Source organism: Homo sapiens, chromosome 3 (assembly GCF_000001405.40).
Source record: "Homo sapiens chromosome 3, GRCh38.p14 Primary Assembly".
Taxonomy (NCBI): Eukaryota; Metazoa; Chordata; class Mammalia; order Primates; family Hominidae; genus Homo; species Homo sapiens.
Window position 1 is genome coordinate 79,936,168 of NC_000003.12, and position 22,292 is coordinate 79,958,459.

General features: G+C 36.5%; 1 pseudogene, besides 1 other annotated feature; it reads right to left on the reverse strand.

Moving 5' to 3' along the window:
* Positions 1,239-1,795: an enhancer, noted in NCBI's record as "OCT4-NANOG hESC enhancer chr3:79986556-79987112 (GRCh37/hg19 assembly coordinates)". NCBI's record gives its function as "activates a minimal SCP1, AML or CMV promoter by ChIP-STARR-seq in naive H9 embryonic stem cells {active_cell/tissue: H9 hESC(naive)}" and the evidence as "EXISTENCE:reporter gene assay evidence [ECO:0000049][PMID:30033119]".
* Positions 21,199-22,079, reverse strand: HMGB1P38 (high mobility group box 1 pseudogene 38; annotated as a pseudogene).

The following is a 22,292-nucleotide window of genomic DNA, read 5'->3' on the forward strand; positions in this document are numbered from 1 at the left end:
AACAAATTGTTTCCCAATGTTTACCTTAACTATGTCTTAGGTTTATATTTATCCCCACATCTGAAATACGTAGAGTGATGAAACTCTAAACTATATATTACAACCTTCTGTTTAAAGCACTATATTGTTTTATTACAATGGCGATTTCACAAATACTTTTCTTGAACAACGTCTTAATCAGATCATCTCCATCTCATCTTTGCCTAGCTCATGGGCTCTGAGAGGTAAATAATTATTTTTTTTTTAGACTAATGATATTGGTATATATAGGTCATTTTGTTTTACAAGTTCAAATAAATTTTAGTTTTCTGATAAATGAGAATACTTGTAAATAAACTATGAATATGCTCTCTCAAATACTGTAATTTACACATTGCTAGAATAAGAAAATGGATATTACCATTTTTATGAATTCATTAAACCAATAGGTGGCTGCTATATTGTTCATATCTTTCTATTGAAATATAGTCTGTGTAAAAACTAATGTTACTAAAGCTAGAATTCTCCATACAACATTATTTATTCATACATGAAATTGGAAGAAGTTACCCCTTAAGGACCATACCCTGTGGCCTAATATTTACTCCAGATAGCAGAGCAGAATGAAATAATTATCAAAGCACAATAGAAAATGTATGTTATTTTTTTCTTTTTTTAATGCTGTTGGAGCTGAGGGTCAGGAATAAATCTGAAAACAAAGCAGAAAGAAATGCAATGCTATTATTTCCAAGGATTAATATTAATTTGTTACTGAGTATGATTAAGAAAATAACTTTACAGATAAAGTAATATAACTGAAATTAATAAACATTTAGTAATTATGCTAATTTGTAATGAAGAGTAAAGAAATGACTAGAGGCCAAATGTGATAAACCAAATAATTGTGTAATATACGGATACTGAGGGGAGGTAGAATTAAAGTATGTTCTCCCTTCAAATCTCAATAGTTTTATGAGTATATTTCGCCTAGATAAATTTGGTTTTGCCTTTTTAATGTCTTTTAAATTAGTTTAACATATGACAAATTTTAATTTACTGTAAATATGACTCTTCTCATTTATCCTCAGAGAATTGATTTCATGCTAGATTATTAAGCTAAATCATAATGTTCGTCATCCTTAAACATTTATAAAAGGTACTAATCTAAAATAGCAGGAGTTATTTGCAGTGAAATAGATAATTCCAAACATAAATTGCATCTTGAAGTTTGAGATATTAGGTCCTTTTTTAATGGTGTAAATTTGACTAAAACTTTTTTTTGAACTTGCTGTCAAGAAGCATATTTGTAAAATTGTGTTCATATGAAGGCACCAAACATTTCAAATTATTTTTCAGGACATTTCATGTTATAAATGACACAAAAATAACTCCAATTGGGTTAAAGGGGAAGTAATATTTACTGGTTCAATCAACTATATAGCTAGGAGAGCTAACTTCACTTAACTTCTATACAATGGCTCAAACAATGGCTCTCTGCTGGTAGGCCCTAATCTCCAGTTACCCAGCTGAGGATAAGGCCTCTCCAATGTGTTAGCTAAGTGGCTGCAGCAGTTTCGTACTACACATTCTTCCATGAAAGAGCTTGGTCTCTCTCACTGAATTACCTGTGGAATGTGGGTGTGTCTCCTGACATCTCCAACCAAGATCTCACTGTTTCTCAATGACCAGGAAATATGATCTGTTGATTGGCTTAAACAAATTATGACACATTCTTGGAGCTGAAAACACAATAATTCTCACATGAATAACATAGATAAGAAAGGGGGAGGAGCAAATTTCTCAAAGAAAAGTCCTGTGGATGAGAGAAGAGAGAAAAGGAGAGCCAAGGAGCACTTGTCTATGATAAGTAATACTTTAAGTGGAACTGGTGGATTTGAGTAAGTGCAGCTAATGATACATAATCAAAATGCATTAATATATATAATTTAAGAACATGTCTTTCCCTCCACCCCATTCCACCTAGGTCTTGGTTGCTGGTGGGTTCCTGGCTTCTTAGAAGAGAATATAGCTCATTTACCCTGTACTCATCCATTTACTCAGTGCAGTTACTGATCCCTCTGAGATTGGAGTATCTGGAGAGAGCGAGAGAAGGGAAGGAAATATTCTCCCCTAACTGAAACCCTTTTAAGATTTCTCAGGCCCTTTGGTAATGGCAGATGCTTGAAATTCAGTCTTGGAACCTTTGATGATGTCATGAAATCTTCAGAGGGCTCTTGCTGGATCAGAAAGCAACACCCACGGGTAAGGGGCTTCCCTTAGCTCTTGATTGTCAAGTGTTCTCCTCACATCCACTGATAGAAATTCTCTTGATTCAAATTCAATTTTAAATGACTCTAGACTGACTGCATGTTTGGCCCACACATGAGGAACACATTGCTACAAACTTTACTTTGCCATTGTTGGAAGGGCGGGTACTTCTCAGATGTAAGTCCCTGTTTTGTCTCTGCCCAGCTGCTCAGGCTAATAACCATATCCTCATATTAAGATTTCTCTGGATAACTCCTATGTAGCCATTCAGTATGCCTTGGTAGGAACTCATGAGTTATCCAAAGCCATTTCCTTAAAGTTTCTTCTACTAGCACTTCATCTCCCTTCTGAAAGAAGGTACAAAACATTAGCCCTCCCTCAAGACATTTCCACATAAATTCTTGTGACCCTTTTTGGACTCTGAGCGAGTGGTTCTAAGTGACAAGAAATACGTTTTAGTTTCTAGTAGTACTCCCTTTCTCCCCAGTATATTTTTAAACCTTCTGTTCAAGGTACTATATTGTTTTATTACAATGGTCATTTCACAAATACTTTTCTTGAGCAACATCTTAATCAGAACTTAATTGTCTTAATTCATAACTTAATTTGTTTTAAAACTAATTTTAGAATTTTAGTATTGGCTATCAAGGGCATTGCAGTTTAAATTTTTCAATTTAAATACTATAAAAATAGCCATACCTGCCTATATTATCAACACTTAATAAAAGTAAGTACTATCATCTACACTATTTCTTAAATTTTGATTTCTACAACAATTGGTCTGTTAAATGACACCTGACAAAATGTTGAAACGTTAGTCAGTACTAGCAGCTATTTATTGAGTTCTTATTATATGAAAGCCTCTTTTGAAAGTGGTTTACATGTGCTAATGTATTTAATCTTTTTTAGTGTTCCATGACATATATACAAGTTTAATTTTACAAATAATGGAGTGGAGGCAAAAAAAAGGTGAAATAATCTTGCCCCAAATTGCAGACTTAATATAATATGCAGACCTAGAATTTAAACTTAAGACGTCTGACTAGATCTACAATTCTTAACTAGCTATAGGATTTCTTTCTAAAGAGTTTCAAATGCTTGCATGTCTCAAAGAATTTTATGTTGCATAGAAAGCAATGTTGTAAGAGGGTTACTTTTGTGTAACAGATAAACTGGAAATCAAGAAAAAAGGGGGGTTAATCTGTGACCAAGTATGATATTAACATACTGTTTTCTTTCGCTCAAAAAAAAAGGGGAGTCTTTTCACTCGGAATTGCATATTTTACTGGCTATTTTACACTCTTTAAACTAATTGTCCTTGGTGGCTGCAGCTCTTAGAGGGAACAGTTTCTGGAGAGAATATAGGCAGTGACTCCTTTAGCACTGCTCCCCCACTGCTAAGTGAGTTTAAGGCGTAAGTGCAGACGGAGAACTCGCCTCAGTAGAAACACACCACACTCATACTTTTCCATGATACAAAGATTCATTTAGTGATAAAAACATAATTTAAAAACTCTGTCACAGGAAGTTAAATTTTTAAGTAAATGACAGCCTTACCATTTAAAAGGGCTCCGTGGCTGGAAGTTCCCAGTGATAAAACGTGTGTCATGCCACATGAGCCTTTCTTTCTCTACTTGCCCACAAGCTGCCATTAGGGTCATGTCATGCCATATTCTGCACACGGTGATTGTTTAACGTTGCACTCCGGTGTTGCACTAAGTACCATACCATTCATCCTAAATGACTCCCTTGAAAATTGCTTCTAAAAGTTTGTGCCAAAAATGCTCATGAGGTGAACAATTTACTATCCTTTAGCTATTAAGATACTGAAAACTGTCACTTCAGGAAATTGAATACTGTATACCCTGTAAAACATGTTGTTCTGAAGCTTTGCTTCAACAATTACTACTTATCATCTGTCAGCTTGTGAGTATTGTGGTTAGTCAGTTGTTAAATTTAATACTGCAATAACATTCTGATATGAGAAAAAGAGAAATACTGGAATCTCAGTGCAGTGATTTGAATCTGAACAAACTGAAGGTGTTCATATCTGTATTATTGTTTGTATTTTATAAATTCTTCATTGAGCTGTCAAGAAACTCAAGTTATTGTGGGGAACTCACAGGGTTCTACATTTTTAATTATGGTTACTTTCATTTACTTCAGTAGACACCATATTGGCCATCATTTGACTATATATCAAGCACAAAGGACTAAAATTTTCAAATCAAGTCTTTCCCAACAATATCTATTGTTGTTAATTGAATTTCTATAAATTTCTTTAATGTTGAATAGACCAAATTTATTTTTGGCCAATTTAAATGGCAGAAATAAGCCTATAAAATACCTATATATGTATATACATACAAATATATATTACATATTTCTACTATATAGAAATATATAAATAATTATAATTGTATATATAATATATAACATAAATATATAATTAAAATTATATATAGAATATATAATATAAATATGTATATATAACATATGTCACATATTATAGATTATATTTCAATAATACATTTATTTCTCTCTATATATTCATATGTATATTTCTTGTTATATGCTTATTTATATAAGGTATACCTGAAACAAAATTAAAAAGTTGATTACAATTCAAATACATATTCAACTTTCGAAGCTCAACTTCAGCTCCTATTCTAGCAGAAAAGTGAAAAGTGTTCCAGACTTTTTCCCCTGCAGTGACTTCTCTTTGTTTTGAATTCACAGCACTTATCCTTTTATCTAACAATTAATCAAGTACAGTCACTTGGCATCTTTTAAATTTATATATTTCCATTTAACATATGTGTTAATATTTCATATTTTAAACCCTATAGCAATGAGCATAATAAATTTGTAGTTTGTTCAAACTGTTGTGAAAAACACAGTAAGAATGATAAATTCTAGTTCTGGTATTGAATGAGTCAGTTAAAGTCTCTCTAACTCAGGGATTTATTCACTTTTAAAAATTGAGCTATAATTTACCTGCAATAAAATGCATTAATATTAAATATTCAGTTCAAAGAGTTCTGGAAATTTTACACACCTTTATGACCATAACTCAAACATTTGTATCACCCAGCGTTCCCTCATGCCCCTTTTCAGTTCCTACCACCAACCCACCATCTGGGGCAACCACTCTCTAATTTCTATGACCATAGACGATTTGCCTGACTCTGACTTCATAGGAATGGAAGGACCCAGAATGTATTATTTTGTGCCTGTCTTCTTTTATTTAAGATGATTATCTTTGAGATTCATCCATGTTGCTGCAAGTATTTATAATCATTTGTTGTTTGTGCTGGATGTTGATCCATTGTTATGAATAAAATACAATTTGCTTTCTTTCCCTGTTCTTGGATATTTGGGTTGTTAAAAAGTTGTTGCTATTATTAATCTATGTTTTAACTTCTCTTGAGTAAAATGGGTATGTTTACTAGATCTTGAGTAAATCTTCTATGTTAATATTTAAAACTATAGAAAAAATTGTATATTATTTTCGTCTTTTTTTTTTTTTTTTTTTTTTTTTTGAGACAGAGTCTCGCTCTGTCGCCCAGGCTGGAGTGCAGTGGCGCGATCTCGGCTCACTGCAAGCTCCGCCTCCTGGGTTCACGCCATTCTCCTGCCTCAGCCTCCCGAGTAGCTGGGACTACAGGCGCCCGCCACCACGCCCGGCTAATTTTTTGTATTTTTAGTAGAGACGGGGTTTCACCGTGTTAGCCAGGATGGTCTCGATCTCCTGACCTCGTGATCCGCCCGCCTCGGCCTCCCAAAGTGCTGGGATTACAGGCATGAGCCACCGCGCCCGGCCTTCGTCATCTTTTTAAATTAACTTATTACGGTAATTTTCTTAGTAGATTTCTTCAGATTATCTAAGTAGACAATCATTCCACATAAGAATAAAGACTATTTTATTTTTTACATTCCAATATTCATGTAATTAACTTTATGTTTGTGCATTATTGCACTAGTTACTACTTTTGAGTACCATGTTGAACATGATTAGTGAGAGCAAACATTTTTACTTTATGATGATATTGTACCATTAAGCAGGATATTTGCTATAGGTTTTTTTGTAGATAGTTTTTAACTAATTAAATAAGTTCTTTTATATTCCCAGTTTACTGAGAATTTTTGTCATGAAAGGTGTGGAATTTTGTCAATGACTTTTTCTATATCATTAAAAGTATTTTATCCTTTATCCTCTTAATGCATTGAATTTCACTGATTGATTTCAATTAATGAGGCAATCTTTTATTTCTGAGATAAACCCGCTTAGTCACGATTCATTCTCTCTCCTACCCTTCTCTCCTCCCTGAGGAGATATCTCATTTCTTTCATTCTTCTTTAGTATAAGGGTTCAGCTGGCCTTCCTACCTCCTTCAGTATTTTCTGAAAGTGTTTTTATAGAATTTGTATAGTATCTTTTTTAAATGGTTGAGAAATTTCACTGGTGCCACTGGTGACTCCATCCGGGTGTTGAATTGTATGGTTGGAATAACTTTAATTAGGAATTACATTTTTCAATAGATACAGGTATATTATGATAATCTATTTTTTATTGTTTTAATTTTGGTAACTTGTATTTTTCAAGTCTTTTCTCAAAGGAAAAAAAGTAGTTAAATTTGTCCGCATTCAGTATTCTGTTGCCTGTGGGTTTGTCATAGATGACTTTTATTACATTAAGGTATGTCCTTTCTATTTCAATTTTTCTAAGGGTTTTAATCTTAAAGTGATGCTGGATTTTGTCAAACACCTTTTCTGAGTCTATTGAGATTATCACGTGATTTTTGTTTTTAATTCTGTTTGTGTGGTATACAACATTTATTGACTTGCATATGTTAAACCATCCCTTCATTCTCTTTGAGAACTGGAAAAAGATAAGGATGCCCTCTCTCACCACTTCTGTTCAACATAGTACTGAACGTCCTAGCCAGCGCAATCAGACAAGAGAAAGAAATAAAGGGCATCCAAATCAGTGAAGAAGAAGTCAAACTGTAGCTGTTTGCTGATGATATGATAGTATACCTAGAAAACCCTAATGGCTCCTCCAAAAAGCTCCAAGAACTGATAATCGAATTCAGCAAAGTTTCAAGATACAAAATTAATGTACACAAATCAGTAGCTCTGCTATCCACCAGCAGTGACCACGCTGAGAATCAAATCAAGAATTCAACCTCTTTTACAATAGATGCAAAAAAATAAATTAAAATACTTAGGAATATACCTAACCAAGGAGGTGAGAGACCTCTACATGAAAAACTACAAAACACTGCTGAAAGAGATCATAGATGACACAAACAAATGGAAACACATCCCGTGCTCATGGATGGGTAGAATCATTATTGTGAAAATGACCATACTGCCAAGAGTAATCTACAAATTCAGTGCAATCCCCATTAAAACACCACTACCATTCTTCACAGAACTAGAAAAGACAATCTTAGAATTCATATTGAATGAAAAAAAATAAGTCTGTATAGACAAAACAAGACTAAGCAAAAAGAACAAATCTGGAAGCATCATATTACCCGACTTCAAACTGTACTAAAAGCCAGAGTCATCAAAACAACATGGTACTGGTATAAAAATAGGCACATAGACCAATGGAACACAGAATAGAAAACACTGAAATAAACCCAAATACTTACAGCCAAATGATCTTTGACAAATCAAACAAAAACGTAAGTGGGGAAAAGACACCGTTTCAACAAATGGTGCTGGAATAATTGGCAAGCCACACATAGAAGAATGAAACTGGATCCTCATTTTTCACCTTATACAAAAATCAACCCAAGATGGATCAAGAACTTAAATCTAAGACCTGAAACCATAGGAATTCTAGAAGGTAACATTCGAAAAACCCTTCTAGACATTGGCTTAGCAAAGAGGCTTAGGCAAAGACTTTACGACCAAGAACTCAAAAGCAAATGCAACAAAAACAATGATAAACAGGTGGGGCTCAATTAAATTAAACAATTTCTGCACAAGGAAAGAAGCAATCAGCAGAGTAAACAGACAACCCACAGAGTGGGAGAAAATCTTCACAATCTATATAACTGACAAAGGACTAATATCCAGAATCTACAAGGAACTCAAATTAGCAAGAAAAACAAACAAACAAATAAACATTTCCATCAACAAGGGCTAAGGACATGAATAGACAATTTTTGAAAGAAGATATACGAATGGCCAACAAACATGAAAAAATGCTCAGCATCAGTAATTACCAGGGAAATGCAAATCAAAATCACAATGTGATACCACCTTACTTTTGCAAGAATGGACACAATCAAAAAATTAAAAAATAATAGAGGTCAATGGGAATGCTGTGAAAAGGGAACAATTTTACACTGTAAGTAGGAATGCAAAATAGTACAACCACTGTGGAAAACAGTGTGGGGATCCCTCAAATAACTAAAAGTAGAACTACCCTTTGATCTAGCAATCCCACTCCTGGTTATCTACCCAGAGGAAAAAATGTCACTATATAAAAAAGATATTTGCACACACATGTTTAGAGCAGCACAATTCACAATTGCAAAAATATGAAACCAGCCCACATGTCCATAAATCAATGAGTGAATAAAGAAATTGTGATATATATATATATATATATATGTATGTATGTATGTATGTATATATGCACACACACACACACACACACGCCATGGAATACTATTCAGACATAACAAGGGAATGAAATAATGGCATTCTTCACAACCTGGATGGAATTGGAGACCATTATTCTAAGTGAAGTAACTCAGGAATGGAAAACTAAACATTGTATGTTCTCACTCACAAGTGGGAGCTAAGCCATGAGGATGCAAAGGCATAAGAATGATACAATGGACAGCTGGGCACAGTGGCTCACGCCTGTAATCCCAGCACTTTGGGAGGCTGAGGCGGGCGGATCATGAGGTCAGGAGTTCGAGACCAGCTTGACTAACAGGCTGAAACTCCGTCTGTATTAAAAATACAAAAATTAGCTGGGCATCGTGGTGCACACCTGTAATCCCAGCTACTCTGGAGGCTGAGGCAGGAGAATTGCTTGAACCCTGGAGGTGGAGGTTGCCGTGAGCCAAGATTGCAACACTATGCTCCAGCCTGGATGACAGAGCAAGACTCTGTCTCAAAAAACAAACAAACAGAAAAACATGCAATGGACTTTGGGGACTTGGAGGAAAGGACGGGAAGGAGGTGAGGTATAAATAACCACAAATTGGGTTCAGTGTATATTTCTCGGGTGATGTGTGCACCAAAATCTCACAAATCACCACTAAAGAACTTATTCATATAACCAAACACCACCTGTTCTCCCAAACCTATGGAAATTAAAACAAAATTGTAAAATTTATTGAAATTAAGTTGTTCCTAATATTCCTTTATTATCCTTTTATTATCAATAGGAGCAATAATGATTTGCTCCTGGTATTGGGAATTTGTGTTATTTTGTTCTGGGTCAGTCTTTCTCTGGGCATATCAATCTTATTAATCATATTGAAGAAACAATGTTTTACTCTGTTGCTTTTCTCTATTGTTTTTCTCTGTCTTTTATAAAACAAATTTTATCTCCTATGATTAAGCTTTTCTTCTACATGTGTTGCAGTTAATTTGCCTTTCTTTTTTTTTTTTTTTCTTTCCAAAGTGGAACTTTAAAATCGCGATATTGTCTTTCCTGGTCACTTACATACAAATGTAAACCTATAAATGTTTCCGTAAGCAGTGCTTTAGCTGTATCAACATATTTTTAATTTAATTTTTCTTTATCATTCAGTTCAAAATGCTTTCTAATTTCCTTTGTGACTTCTTAGACTTACAGGAAAATGGAACAATTGTTCTGTTTTAATTAAAAGAAACATACATACTAATTGTTTGTATATGTTGGCTAATACTTTTCCTGACAAAACTATAACTGAGATATTAATTAATAGCTTTTTTAAACTAGGTAATAAGATAAGCAAGACCATCAGCTTTTTGTTTGATTTAAAGTATCTGTAAAATTTCAACTTGTTTTTAAAAAGGGCTTATATAGTATTCCTGATAAAGAGGAGATCATCTTGACAAATCAGGTTCAGCTTAAAAACAACTCTATATCTTCTCCCCATTTTATCACCACTTGAAAATTATGCTAACGAAATTTATGTGTTAGCACAATTGTGCGATTAATTGCCTGTAATTTAAAGTTTTAGATCAATTTTTTTATATTTTTTAACATGTGCAGTGAGTTATCATTTTTCCTCAAATTATATTTGCAAAAATATAAAAATTTGTTGGGTTATCCTTTGCTGTATGAAACTGAAACATCTAACTTAGCTTTAACATAAATGTATTCTTGTTGGTCTTTCGCTGGTGGTCTTTATTTAATACAGTCTCAATAAATATCAAAGAAAAAGTGGTATATAAAACACAGTTGTTGACCACAATATAACTAAGTTACAGAGCAATGAAAATTTAAATAGAAATATACAAACAAACTGAAATACTGTTATAACCTAGAAAAATGAACTGTAATAAAAATTTAAACTCTTTTTATAATACGTAACACTGAAACTACTACATTTTAGAACTTGTTAAGTGCAAATAAGAGTTGTTAGATGGAATTTTATAGTATTCCATGCTTATCCCATCCAGGTTCTTTTTTTCCAGTATTCAGGTTCTTTGTTAGAAACTAGATATTCATTTTGATCAAAACACATACAGCCCTTGCCTTCTAGCAGCTTAGATTCATTTATATCTTTTATTCTTAATCATTTATGCATTTGTTCATCAAATTGCATCTTTAAATGTAAAAGTTGGTGCAGTAATAAGTGGATTATATACCTGTTTTCTAGATACTTGTATATATGATTAGAGAGAATATAATGACTATATTATATGTTATGTTATATATTATATATATAATATGACTATATATTGACACTATATAATAACTAACAATAAAGAAATAGCTAACAAAAATGAGGCAGTATGTTGAAAAAGATATAGATAGAAAATATAGCATGAGATAAAAGCAGAAAAAATATTGTATTTGGGGGAATTTACCAGGAAAACACACAAAAAAAGGGTGGGGAATTAAAAAGAAAAAAGATTGTGTGCAGGAGTAGAATTATAGTATTTCATTTAGCAGGTATAAAACATTTCTGAAGTTATTTGTCATTACTTAAGGTTGTGATAAAGAGAAACTTTTCTGAAGTAACCTCACATGAGAACATACTCAGAGGCATGGAATTTGGGCAGAGTGATATCTGTTACTTACAGAATCCTTGGTGCTTTGCCTTCAGGCAAGAAGTATTGAAGAGCCGGGGCAATAAGGATCTCTTGGGAGACAAGTTTCCTTACATCTCTCAATGTCTGCATGTCTATCTAGAAAAGGCACTGATGGCCTTTGTTATTAACCATCTTTTCAGGGATGTTTGTAGTGCCTACATCTGGAACACCCACTAAATATATTTATTTTCCAGTATAATAAAGACATGATATCTCCTTCCAGGGCATAGAACAAGCAGGCTTAAAGCCTATCAGAAAAGATGTATGTTTTCAGAGATGGAAGTTCTCCAACACTCACTGTGTGTACAGCATCCACATAAGTCCCTCCACATTGCCCCGTGAAACATGGGGCTCAATGGGAAAAACAAAACAAAACAAAAAACAAAAAAAACAAACATGAAGCTTGTTGTGCCATGAATAATAAGTCCTATGTCTCTGATCCAGAAATCTTATGTCTTCTGCCAGCATACATCAACTGTGGCACACTAACATGTCAGCTGACAACTAAAGTGAGATCTCTATTTGACTCAAACAGGAGAGTTTACTCGCATTGAAGAGTGACACTTAATGCAGGCTGTCTAAAGTTTCAAACCATGGAGGGGTTAAGGGCTCTGGTAGAAGTGGGTTTAACCACTACCTCCAATTCTTTATCATGTGAGGGCTGAAATGGGTGAAATATATGGGTGAAATATACAGCTTGAAATATATGGGTGAAATATACAGCATGCCTACCATATACAATAATCCTTTGCAATCCATCAAAATTTGGTGTTGATGCTTCATCAAGTAATTTGGAGATTGCCTGTACCATTTTCTTTCCCTTCTCCTAAGAATGACATTGGTTTAAGGAAGAAAATGGGCATTCTGTCTGGTCATGTTAAATAAAATTATTGATGTCATTCTGACTGTGCTTGAACCGAATAGTGATGCCATAGACCTAATTCAAAGATGTTCTGCCATAAAATATAAATCATTCAGCATTTGACACATGGGTTTTAACCATGTTTTTTTCTTTTAACATGGTCAAACCATGATTAACTGTGCATTTTAACCAGCGATCTGGAAGTGAAACATGGCAAGTTATACAGATGAGTTCATGGTCAATGAGAAATGGTAGGTATGCCAATATTGTGTGCTCAACAATTTGGCAAATAGGTAAATGACTGTAGAAATAGAAGGTGGACAACTGAGCAAGAGAGTAGAGGTGGTAGGAAACAGTGTTAAATCTGACAGCAGTTTCTTCATCCAAATTGCCCTGGACAGGAAGTAAGACAAACAATATAGTCTTTGTTGAAATATTAGTAATATGTATGATTGTGGGTTGCTCTGGCCAGAGCCACAGGAAGAGAAGTTTGAATTCTTTGCAGAATAAATAGAAATGTAGCAAAAAAGGAATATATTGGATCTTGAGCAGCACAGGGATGATGTTAAATTTGAACGAACTTGAGTTAGTAATGGCGTGGAATTCAAGATTGCATCAGCCCCTGTGTCAGACCAGCTTAAAATTCATTCACGTCCCTATTGACAGAAATCATTTTATCAAAAGAGGAAAAAGCTGAAGCTATCTGAAAATTTTAAAAAAATGCAGAAAAGCAACCAGGATAGGGACACCAACTAACACTTTTGTGAATGAAGAGAAGTAGATTGGGAGAGCAAGTCCGTCTTGAAAAAGCTAATAAGGAAATGAAATCCACACCCTATTTTAGGGGAATACGGAGCTTCTCTGAAAGAACATCCTGTATTTTAATATGGGATATGGTAGTAGAAAAGAAGGATGAACTGCATCTTCCTAAGGAAACTTTTCCTAAGTGTTGGAAAAAGATGCAAGTCTATGTACGTGGAGTATAGGAGGTATAGAAAGTGAAATTTCTCCTGCTCCCCTCTTTGACTTCACTGGTCCCTGGTGGGTGTTGAGACCACATACAACTCCTCTTATTCAGTCATTCTGTGGAAAACATCCTTTGCTTCAGATGGATTAAATGTGGTTACACTTCTACTTGTGTCCTTATGATGACCCTGAAATTTCCAGAGAAATTTGTGGTGTTGTCAGGAAAAATGGTTACATGTGTTAGGTGTCCAGCCTCGGGGAAACATCTGTAACTATTTTCATTTTGAATTTGTTGCTTTACTAATAGCCTGGGGCCTATTGTCCAGCTATGCTTCTCATTCATGTGTTGTTGTATCAAACAGAAAGTGGGAAGAGAAGAGAGCTGAATCTGGTGGACCACAGCTGGCATGTTTCTGAGTTTAGATAGTTTTGATTCACTGATGCCCAGCAATCAAAGACAGGACCAAGGGAAAAGCAAAACAAAGACACTGAGCAAATGGAATCACTCTCCCTTACTGGGGCGGGGGGAACATTGATGTGTTTTAGAACAGTAGCATACACTTGAGCTAAAGAACAAGGACAAAGAGCACATTAGATGTGCCACGCAGGAGGTCAGCATAGCAACGAAAAAGAGCTAGGGTTCCAGTTCTGGCACTGTTAACAGCAGGCATATCTTCCTGCTTAATTTGATCATCCCAGTCAGCGTATGCATTGGATACCCACTACAATACTTACCAATCTATGGAGGGTAATCGGAGACTCACTGGAGCTACAGATGTAGTCTGCTGCAACCACCTGCTACCTGGAGAAACTGCTCAGCAGCTCAGAATCTCCACTCACTGTAGATTTCATATTGTTTAAACTACAGAATGTAACTCCAGATAAGTATTTTGTAGATTTTTCTAGAGCATTGATTCTTGAGAAGAAAGAAGGCATTTCCTACAAAAATCATGGAGATTTGTGTGTGTGTCCGGAATTGGTGGGTTCTTGGTCTCACTGACTTCAAGAATGAAGCCGCGGACCCTGGCAGTGAGTGCTACAGCTCTTAAGGTGGAGCGTCTGGTGTTTATTCCTTCTGATGTTCGGATGTTTGCGGAGTTTCTTCCTTCTGGTGGATTCGTGGTCTCGCTGGCTCAGGAGTGAAGCTGCGGACCTTCACAGTGAGTGTTACAGCTCATAAAAGCAGTGTGGACCCAAAGTGTGGGCAGTAGCAAGACTTATTGCAAATAGCAAAAGAACAAAGCTTCCACAGTGTGGAAGGGGACCCAAGCGGGTTGCCACTGCTGGCTCCCGCAGCCTGCTTTTATTCTCTTATCTGGCCCCACCCACATCCTGCTGATTGGTAGAGCCGAGTGGTCTGTTTTGACAGGGCGCTGGTTGGTGTGTTCACAATCCCTGAGCTAGACACAAAGGTTCTCCACCTCCCCACCAGATTAGCTAGATACAGAGTGTGACACAAAGATTCTCCAAGGCCCCACCAGAGTAGCTAGATACAGAGTGTCGATTGGTGCATTCACAAACCCTGAGCTAGACACAGGGTGCTGATTGGTGTGTTTACAAACCTTGAGCTAGATACAGAGTGCCCCTTGGTGTATGTACAATCCCTGAGCTAGACATAAAGGTTCTCCAAGGCCCCACCAGAGTAGCTAGGTACAGAGTGCTGATTGGTGCATTCACAAACCCTGAGCTAGACACAGGCTGCTGATTGGTGTATTTACAATCCCTTAGCTAGACATAAAGGTTCTCTACTTCCCCACCAGACTCAGGAGCCCAGCTGGCTTCACCCAGTGGATCCCGCATGGGGGCTGCAGGTGGAGCTGCCTGCCAGTCCCGTGCCGTGTGCCCGCACCCCTCAGCCCTTGGGTGGTCGATGGGACTGGGCACCGTGGAGCAGGGGGTGGTGCTCATCCGGGAGGCTCGGGCCACACAGGAGCCCACGGAGGGGGTGGGAGGCTCAGGCATGGCAGGCTGCAGGTCCCCAGCCCTGCCCCCCGGGAAGGCAGCTAAGGCCCGGTGAGAAATCGAGTGCAGCGCTGGTGGGCCAGCACTGCTGGGGGACCTAGTACACCCTCCGCAGCCGCTGGCCAGGGTTCTAAGCCCCTCATTGCCCGGGGCCGGCAGTGCCGGCCGGCTGCTCCGAGTGTGGGGCCCGCCAAGCCCACGCCCACCCGGAACTCCAGCTGGCCCAGAAGCGCCACACGCAGCCCCGGTTCCCGCTCCCGCCTCTCCCTCCACACCTCCCTGCAAGCTGAGCGAGCTGGCTCTGGCCTTGGTCAGCCCAGAAAGGGGCTCCCACAGTGCAGCAGTGGGCTGAAGGGCTCCTCAAGTGCCGCCAAAGTGGGAGCCCAGGCAGAGGAGGCGCCGAGAGCAAGCGAGGGCTGTGAGGACTGCCAGCACGCGGTCACCTCTCATGGGGATTGTTTTGCTTGTCACAGTACTGGTGGGGAGAGATGTCAGGTGCTAAAAGCTTTTAATGGGCAGAGCTAGGAATGTAAGACATTCCGGAATGTCTGGGATAAACTTTCATAGTGAAGAATTTCTCTGTATTTCATACAATGTAAAACACCCCCCCCAGCTAATCAATTATGAGAAAAGCCCGTTTAAATCCTATAACAACAAAAAATGTTTTGTATTCAAACATAAAATATTTTTATGGATTTAATATGTACTAAAATTGTCGTGGTAAGATATTATAATATGTATTGAAAGAAGAGCATAAGCTTTTTTTTTTTAAATGACCAAGGATTAGGGTTAATTTAAAGAAACTGCATAATTGATGTCAATAATAATCAAGGTACTTCAGTTATCAGCACAACATTCCTGACACACTATGAATTTGTAACTAGGTTTTATTGTGATTATATGTATGTGTCTGTGTGTGCACGTGCGTGTGTAGATATGTGAGTAGTCATCATTCATTAGGTTATTTTAGTGTGAATATGCTTGAGGGTTTAAAATAAAACTATTTTGTTATAAATCACATAATCTTTTTTCTTCTTTCTGTTAGTTTGTATATTTTGAAATTCTGTGTGCAATAAAAGAGGTGTTACAAAATATTTCATACTAAGGCTTCAATTCTGCGATACTTGAGAACTATTTTTCTAGACTATGCATGCATTTGATGGGGCAATATGATCAAATATGCTGCCACCTTCAGTGCTCTCCCCTGTCACTGTGCTGCCCACCAAGTGACTCACATAGCTGAGTGCTAGCTGGGCTTGTACTTCCAAACCTTCTGGAAATGATTGCAAGGACACTCAGTAGGATACCATGTTAACTCTGTTTATGCTGGTGATGGGTTGGATGGTTCTCTGTTTTCCTCGAGCAGGAATATCATTCCTTTCCTCAACCATTTCTGCACATACTTTTCTTTGAACTCTCTAATAGTATTCCAGTTTTTTAAAAAATTAATATCAGCAACCAATTGAATGCATTTGTCTTTCATTGATGATCATACTTAATCAGCAAATTATAAAATTTCCCCTTCTGTTAACACTGTTTCACAATTAATTTGAAATTGATAAAATTTATATAAAATTAGAAAATAAAGCAGGCTCTAGAAGAGATATAGAAAACCTTGATTATTGTATTTAGTATTACATGAATTATTTCCTTCAGTGTTTCTTTGGAAAGCTCTCTTTTTATTCTTGACTGAATCAACAATATGTTGCTTCATACAATAAGTTCTTGTAGGACCATAGTTGTGTTTGGGTCACTTTGTGCAGTTTTTAATAGAGGGTCATATAAAAATGCTTTAAAGACGTAAAAACAGGACAGAGCTGATAGCTTCCTTTTCATCATTCTCTTTCTCTCTCTCTCTCTCTTTATTGTAATTTGAAAGTTGGCCTATTTTAAAGCAGTTCTGTTAATGCAACAGTGGTTTTGAAACACTGTATTAAAAGAGACCAGTTTAAAGGAGCCACTCAAGAAATCGTGAACAGATTACATAAAAAGAAAATGCCATATAAGGTACACTTTTATGGCTGAGATCTGACATTCACAACTGAGAGAAAGGTAGGGGAGAAGTCTTTCTTCATTAGCAGCATGACCAAAGCACTTAGGGATTTCACTCCCTCACATCCATTATTCCATCTATTGTCCTAATTTAATTTTCCATGATTTTCCTGACAGTGAAGGTTGGCAACTCTTAAGTACAGTACAAAAGGTTTGCAGCATTCATGCTAATAATTACACAAGCTGTTGAGGCTTTTTGCTGAAGGGTGTATTGTCAAAAATATCAAATTTAGACAAAAGCAGAAGCTACAGATGTGAGTGGAGCTGGAATCCCTGAGTGCCTTTGTTTTTATCCATAGAAAGAAGCCACCTCGTGAGGTCTAAATGTTAATAAAGCATTCATACCCTTTGGGGCCTTTGGGGAGCTCTAAACAGGAAAACACTTGGAGAATTGCCATCAAATTGTTGCTGCTATTGTCTCTACTGTCGCTTACCAGGGTTGTCCTGACAATGTAGAATCTATTATTTTTATATTCTTTCTTAGTCAAATAGATTTCTTTTCTCATGATTTGTATAGGCCAGTTTTAGAACACTTAATCTAAAAATGTGTCTTCTTAACTGTAGAAAAAGGTAAACTTTAATCCATTATCCTTCTATCTTTTCTTTAAGGATGCAATCATTTGCTTTCCTTTCTTCTTTTGTTTGTCACAGAAGGCCGAATTCCTTGCAGTGTGAAACTGCCTTGTACCACCCATGCCCATGAATTACCAATTATCCCCACCTGTAAACCATACTCCAAGCAAATAAGGTGGCCATGGCTTATTAGGAGTCATTCAATATCTGTGCTCATTAAATATTGACCATAGGCTGAATTAATAAGATTCCATTTACTTTGTACCAAACCTTTTCAACTACAAGTAGATTTAGTGTCCAATAATACACAAATATACTTATAAGTGTATTTAGATTCCTAATGTAGTATAGGTTTATAGACATATTTGAGATATAAAACCAACACGTTTATCTCACAATCCTACCTTTTCTCCACCCGTTAGATAAATACCATTGTAAGCCTAGAGAAGGCTAGAACTATAAGCAGAGAGTTGCTCATCTTTGAATCGTAATTAAGGTTTTTGAGCCAACTGGATAATAATAATTTTTCCGAAATGTGTCATTTGGAGAGAAAAATGGTCTTTTTAAATTTCAAAGTCTTCAAGAACAAAGTTTGCCATAAGTAATTATTTAAAGAATTTGAATACAAGGACTATTTCTTCCCCACAGAAAGGAGTGTGAAGTCCTTGTACGTCCTGAAAGATAAGCCCAAATGACAGGTTTGCAGGGAAAATACCAGGTGACGACTCTGCCTGAATTGATATAAAGGGTCTTAGCACAAGCCAACATTCCAACCCCGATACCTGTAGCATTTCATATAGATTGAAAGTGAAACCTAAAGTACAGAAAGTATGTCCCATTTCCTCTTTGGAGTCCATGACGCATAACAAAGCAGCTGCATTAGGACAGAAGTGATGATAGGACGTGCTTAGGCAGGAATAACATCAGAGACAAGGGTCTGCATCCAAATGGATTGCACATGGCATGAAATAGACCCACAGATTCTTGTGTCACCATGAAGTAGCTAAGAATTGAATGAGTGGTCCTGCTAGAGTTCAGCTGAGGGCTGAGGAGAGGTGTCCCTGCAGCAAAGGCACCCCTTTGAGGGCTGGGGAGATCTAAGCCATAGTCAGGGAAAGAACACACTGGAGTCTCTGGTTTTAGCAGCACCTGAGGGGTGCGAATAGGAGCATGTAGTCACCGAGGCAGAGTGTCACCCGAGTGGACTCAAGAGAGTGACTGCTTGAGTGAAGATACAGCATCCTTGGTATTAGCTGTGTGACTTTGAGCAAGCTTGTCAACCTCACTAGGCTTCCATTCCATCATCTATATGAGGTTATTAAGGGTGTCTTTTTTAGGACTGTTATTAAACTAAATGGATTGTAACTATAATGTACTTAGTACAGTACCTAGTAAGCACTATATGTGAGCTTGCTAAATAAGTAAAGTCAGAAGGGGTTAATGGCTCAGCTCCCTGTAAGTAATCATGGTGTGTTGCTACTTCCAACAGAACAGACGCTCAATTACAGTAGCCACAGGCTCTTTCTCAGTGGATGCTTACAGGACAGAGGCCAATGCCCAAAGCAAGGTGGGATGACATTTCCTCACCACTGATTATGAAGGGGAGACAGCAGGTAACAATGTATAGGCCAGATACCCTTCAATGTCACTATGATTTTGTTTAAACTTTTCACTACAATGTGATTTCACTCAAGGGAGGTAGGACAGAAACCTGTTTGAAATAAATCATTAAAGAATGAGAGCATTTATTTTAAAAAAATAATAAAAACAAGTTTTCACACCTTTTTTTTACTCTACCGAGGGCATTTGTGAACAAAACACGAAATGAGATTATTTTAAAACTTTAAAAAATTAATTTATACTTTCTTTCAATTATATATAGTACATTTTAGTCAATGTGTTAAATTCACACTCCAGAAGAACAGCTTTTTATCTTGGAATTTTAAAAAATCAGTGGATATATTTCTTTGAAACGTCTGCAATTACTAGTTTATTAGTATCATCCAGGACTCAGATGTTCACTAATCCTCCTGAAATTACATAAACAAATGCAAATGGAAAGAATCCAAGTCAAAATAATATAACAAAACAGCACTTCCTCACAAAAGCGTATAAAATTACAAGAACGCTATTTTAAAATACGGACACTTTAAGAAAACAATAATCTCAAAAAACACAAAATTGCCAAATTGTTTTCTAAACTGCAAAGTAGATAAACATGACTAATGAATAAGTTTGGGTTTTGTAAAAAAAATTATTCAAATACATTGAGTAATTAATACTGAGATGCAAAGTTTGTCTTCTTTTCTCCTATTTGATTTATAAGGGGGCAAACCATAATATAGGAAAATATACTCTATTTCAAATGCAGTATCTTCATTTTAAAGCTGCCCCAATTAATTAAAAATACTTATAATGGAGAGTCCCAGCTTCCTGAGCAGTCCATATTTAGATAAATGGGAAAAGACAACTACAGCCAGTATATTCATAGTCTTCACTGAGACTAATGTCAACAAAATATTTAATATGGCAGTCTTCTATTTTAAGCTCACACTTTTGGTGATACAATCTCAGGTCTTCTTTAACACTGGAATTGCAAAATATAACTGCTATTACATATAAATATTAGTACATACTTTTCTATTAGTCCTTCAAGGACAGATTTTAAATGTTTGATTCTAATATTCCCATGCCGTGAGTAGATTGGTTACTCTTCAGTTTGTAAATATAAGTGGGCCATGTAAAATTTGTTATCAACTGATAAGGATTTGATCCACCCATTTAGTTATGGATGTAAACTGCCTCAATGTAACTATTTACCCCTCATCATGATATGCAGAGTATGTACACAAAAGCTTTTTATCAGCTAACTATATGAAAGGATAAACACAGTAATAATTCATTTGCTCCTAAATGAGCAAAAGCAAAAGACTAGCTTCCCCTCAGGAAAAAAAATTTCAGACTTATGAAAAGGACAACAATACTAAAAAAATTGTATTTACTTAGAAGCATTTAGAACGTCAACAAAACAGCTGCGTTTTTTTTTTTTTTTTTTTTTGGAATCACCGGGTGGTATTTAGTTAACAGAACAACAATTATTTCATATATGCCACATCAAAGACAACTGATGAAAGATGAAAAAACCACCATGTCCATATGTAACTAATTTGTGCTGCACGTTAACAAGAACCTGCTTTGAATTTCCACGCCAATTTACAACCCCCATACTACACTAGGCAAGGTTAGTGGCTATTGAAAATACCATCAGGACAGGGCTATATAAAGACATATTTGGTAGTGTGCTAACTATACAAAAAAAGACATTTTACCGTTTAAAAACAAAACTTACACAGCCTTACATTTCAATTTTCTTCTTTAAAGGGAATGAGTTGTGTACAGGGGGGTTAATTGCTTTATAGACAAGAAAAAAAACTGTGCTAGAACCAACTTATCCATCATCATCATCTTCTTCTTCATCTTTCTTCTCCTCATCCTCTTCATTTTCCTCATTTTCCTCTTCTTCCTTCTTTTTCTTGGGTTTTTCAGCCTTGACGACTCCCTTTTTGCTGCACCAGGTTTTCCTTTAGCTCAGTATGAAGGGATATCCTTTTGTATTTTTCCTTCAGCTTTGCAGCCTTCTTTTCATAGGGCTGCTTGTCATCTGCTATAGTGTTATTCCTCTTCTCCCAGGTTCGTCACAACATCACCAATGGATAGGCCAGGATATTCTCCTGTGATTCTTGGGTGATTCTCAGAACAGAACAAGAAAAAGGCTGAAGAAGCCCTCTTGGGTGTGATGGGATACTTGACCTTCTTTTTTGTCTCTCCACTGGGATTCTCCTTTATAATGGGCTTTGTACGCCTTTGCCATGTCTTCTAGTTTTTCTTTCTTGCTGGAAAACATGGTCTTCCACCTCTCTGAAGTTGATTGAAACATGTGGGTGCTTCCCTTTTTGCTCCTCCCAAGTTTGCACAGAGAATACATATGATGACATTTTGTCTCTCGGCTTCTCAGGATCTCTTTTGCCCATGTTTAGTTATTCTCCCTCTGTGAGGCACAGAGTCGCAGAGTGCCCATCCAGCTCTCACTTGCCCCAGTGCTGTCTCTATGGAGCTCAATGTACTGCAATGGCTGAATCAATGGAAAGTAAAAATCCTATCATGAGTCATATCATTTCAAAGTTTTTTGGGTTTTGCCCTTTTTATTTTGATACAGTGATCTTGATTCCAGAAATATTTGATAATCATATTTCGGATCTATTGCTTCACCCTTGCCCTGACTTCTATCAAACAAGTTGACCTAAATCTGTTTTGTGATTTCTCACTTTACTTTCAAACTGAATACTGA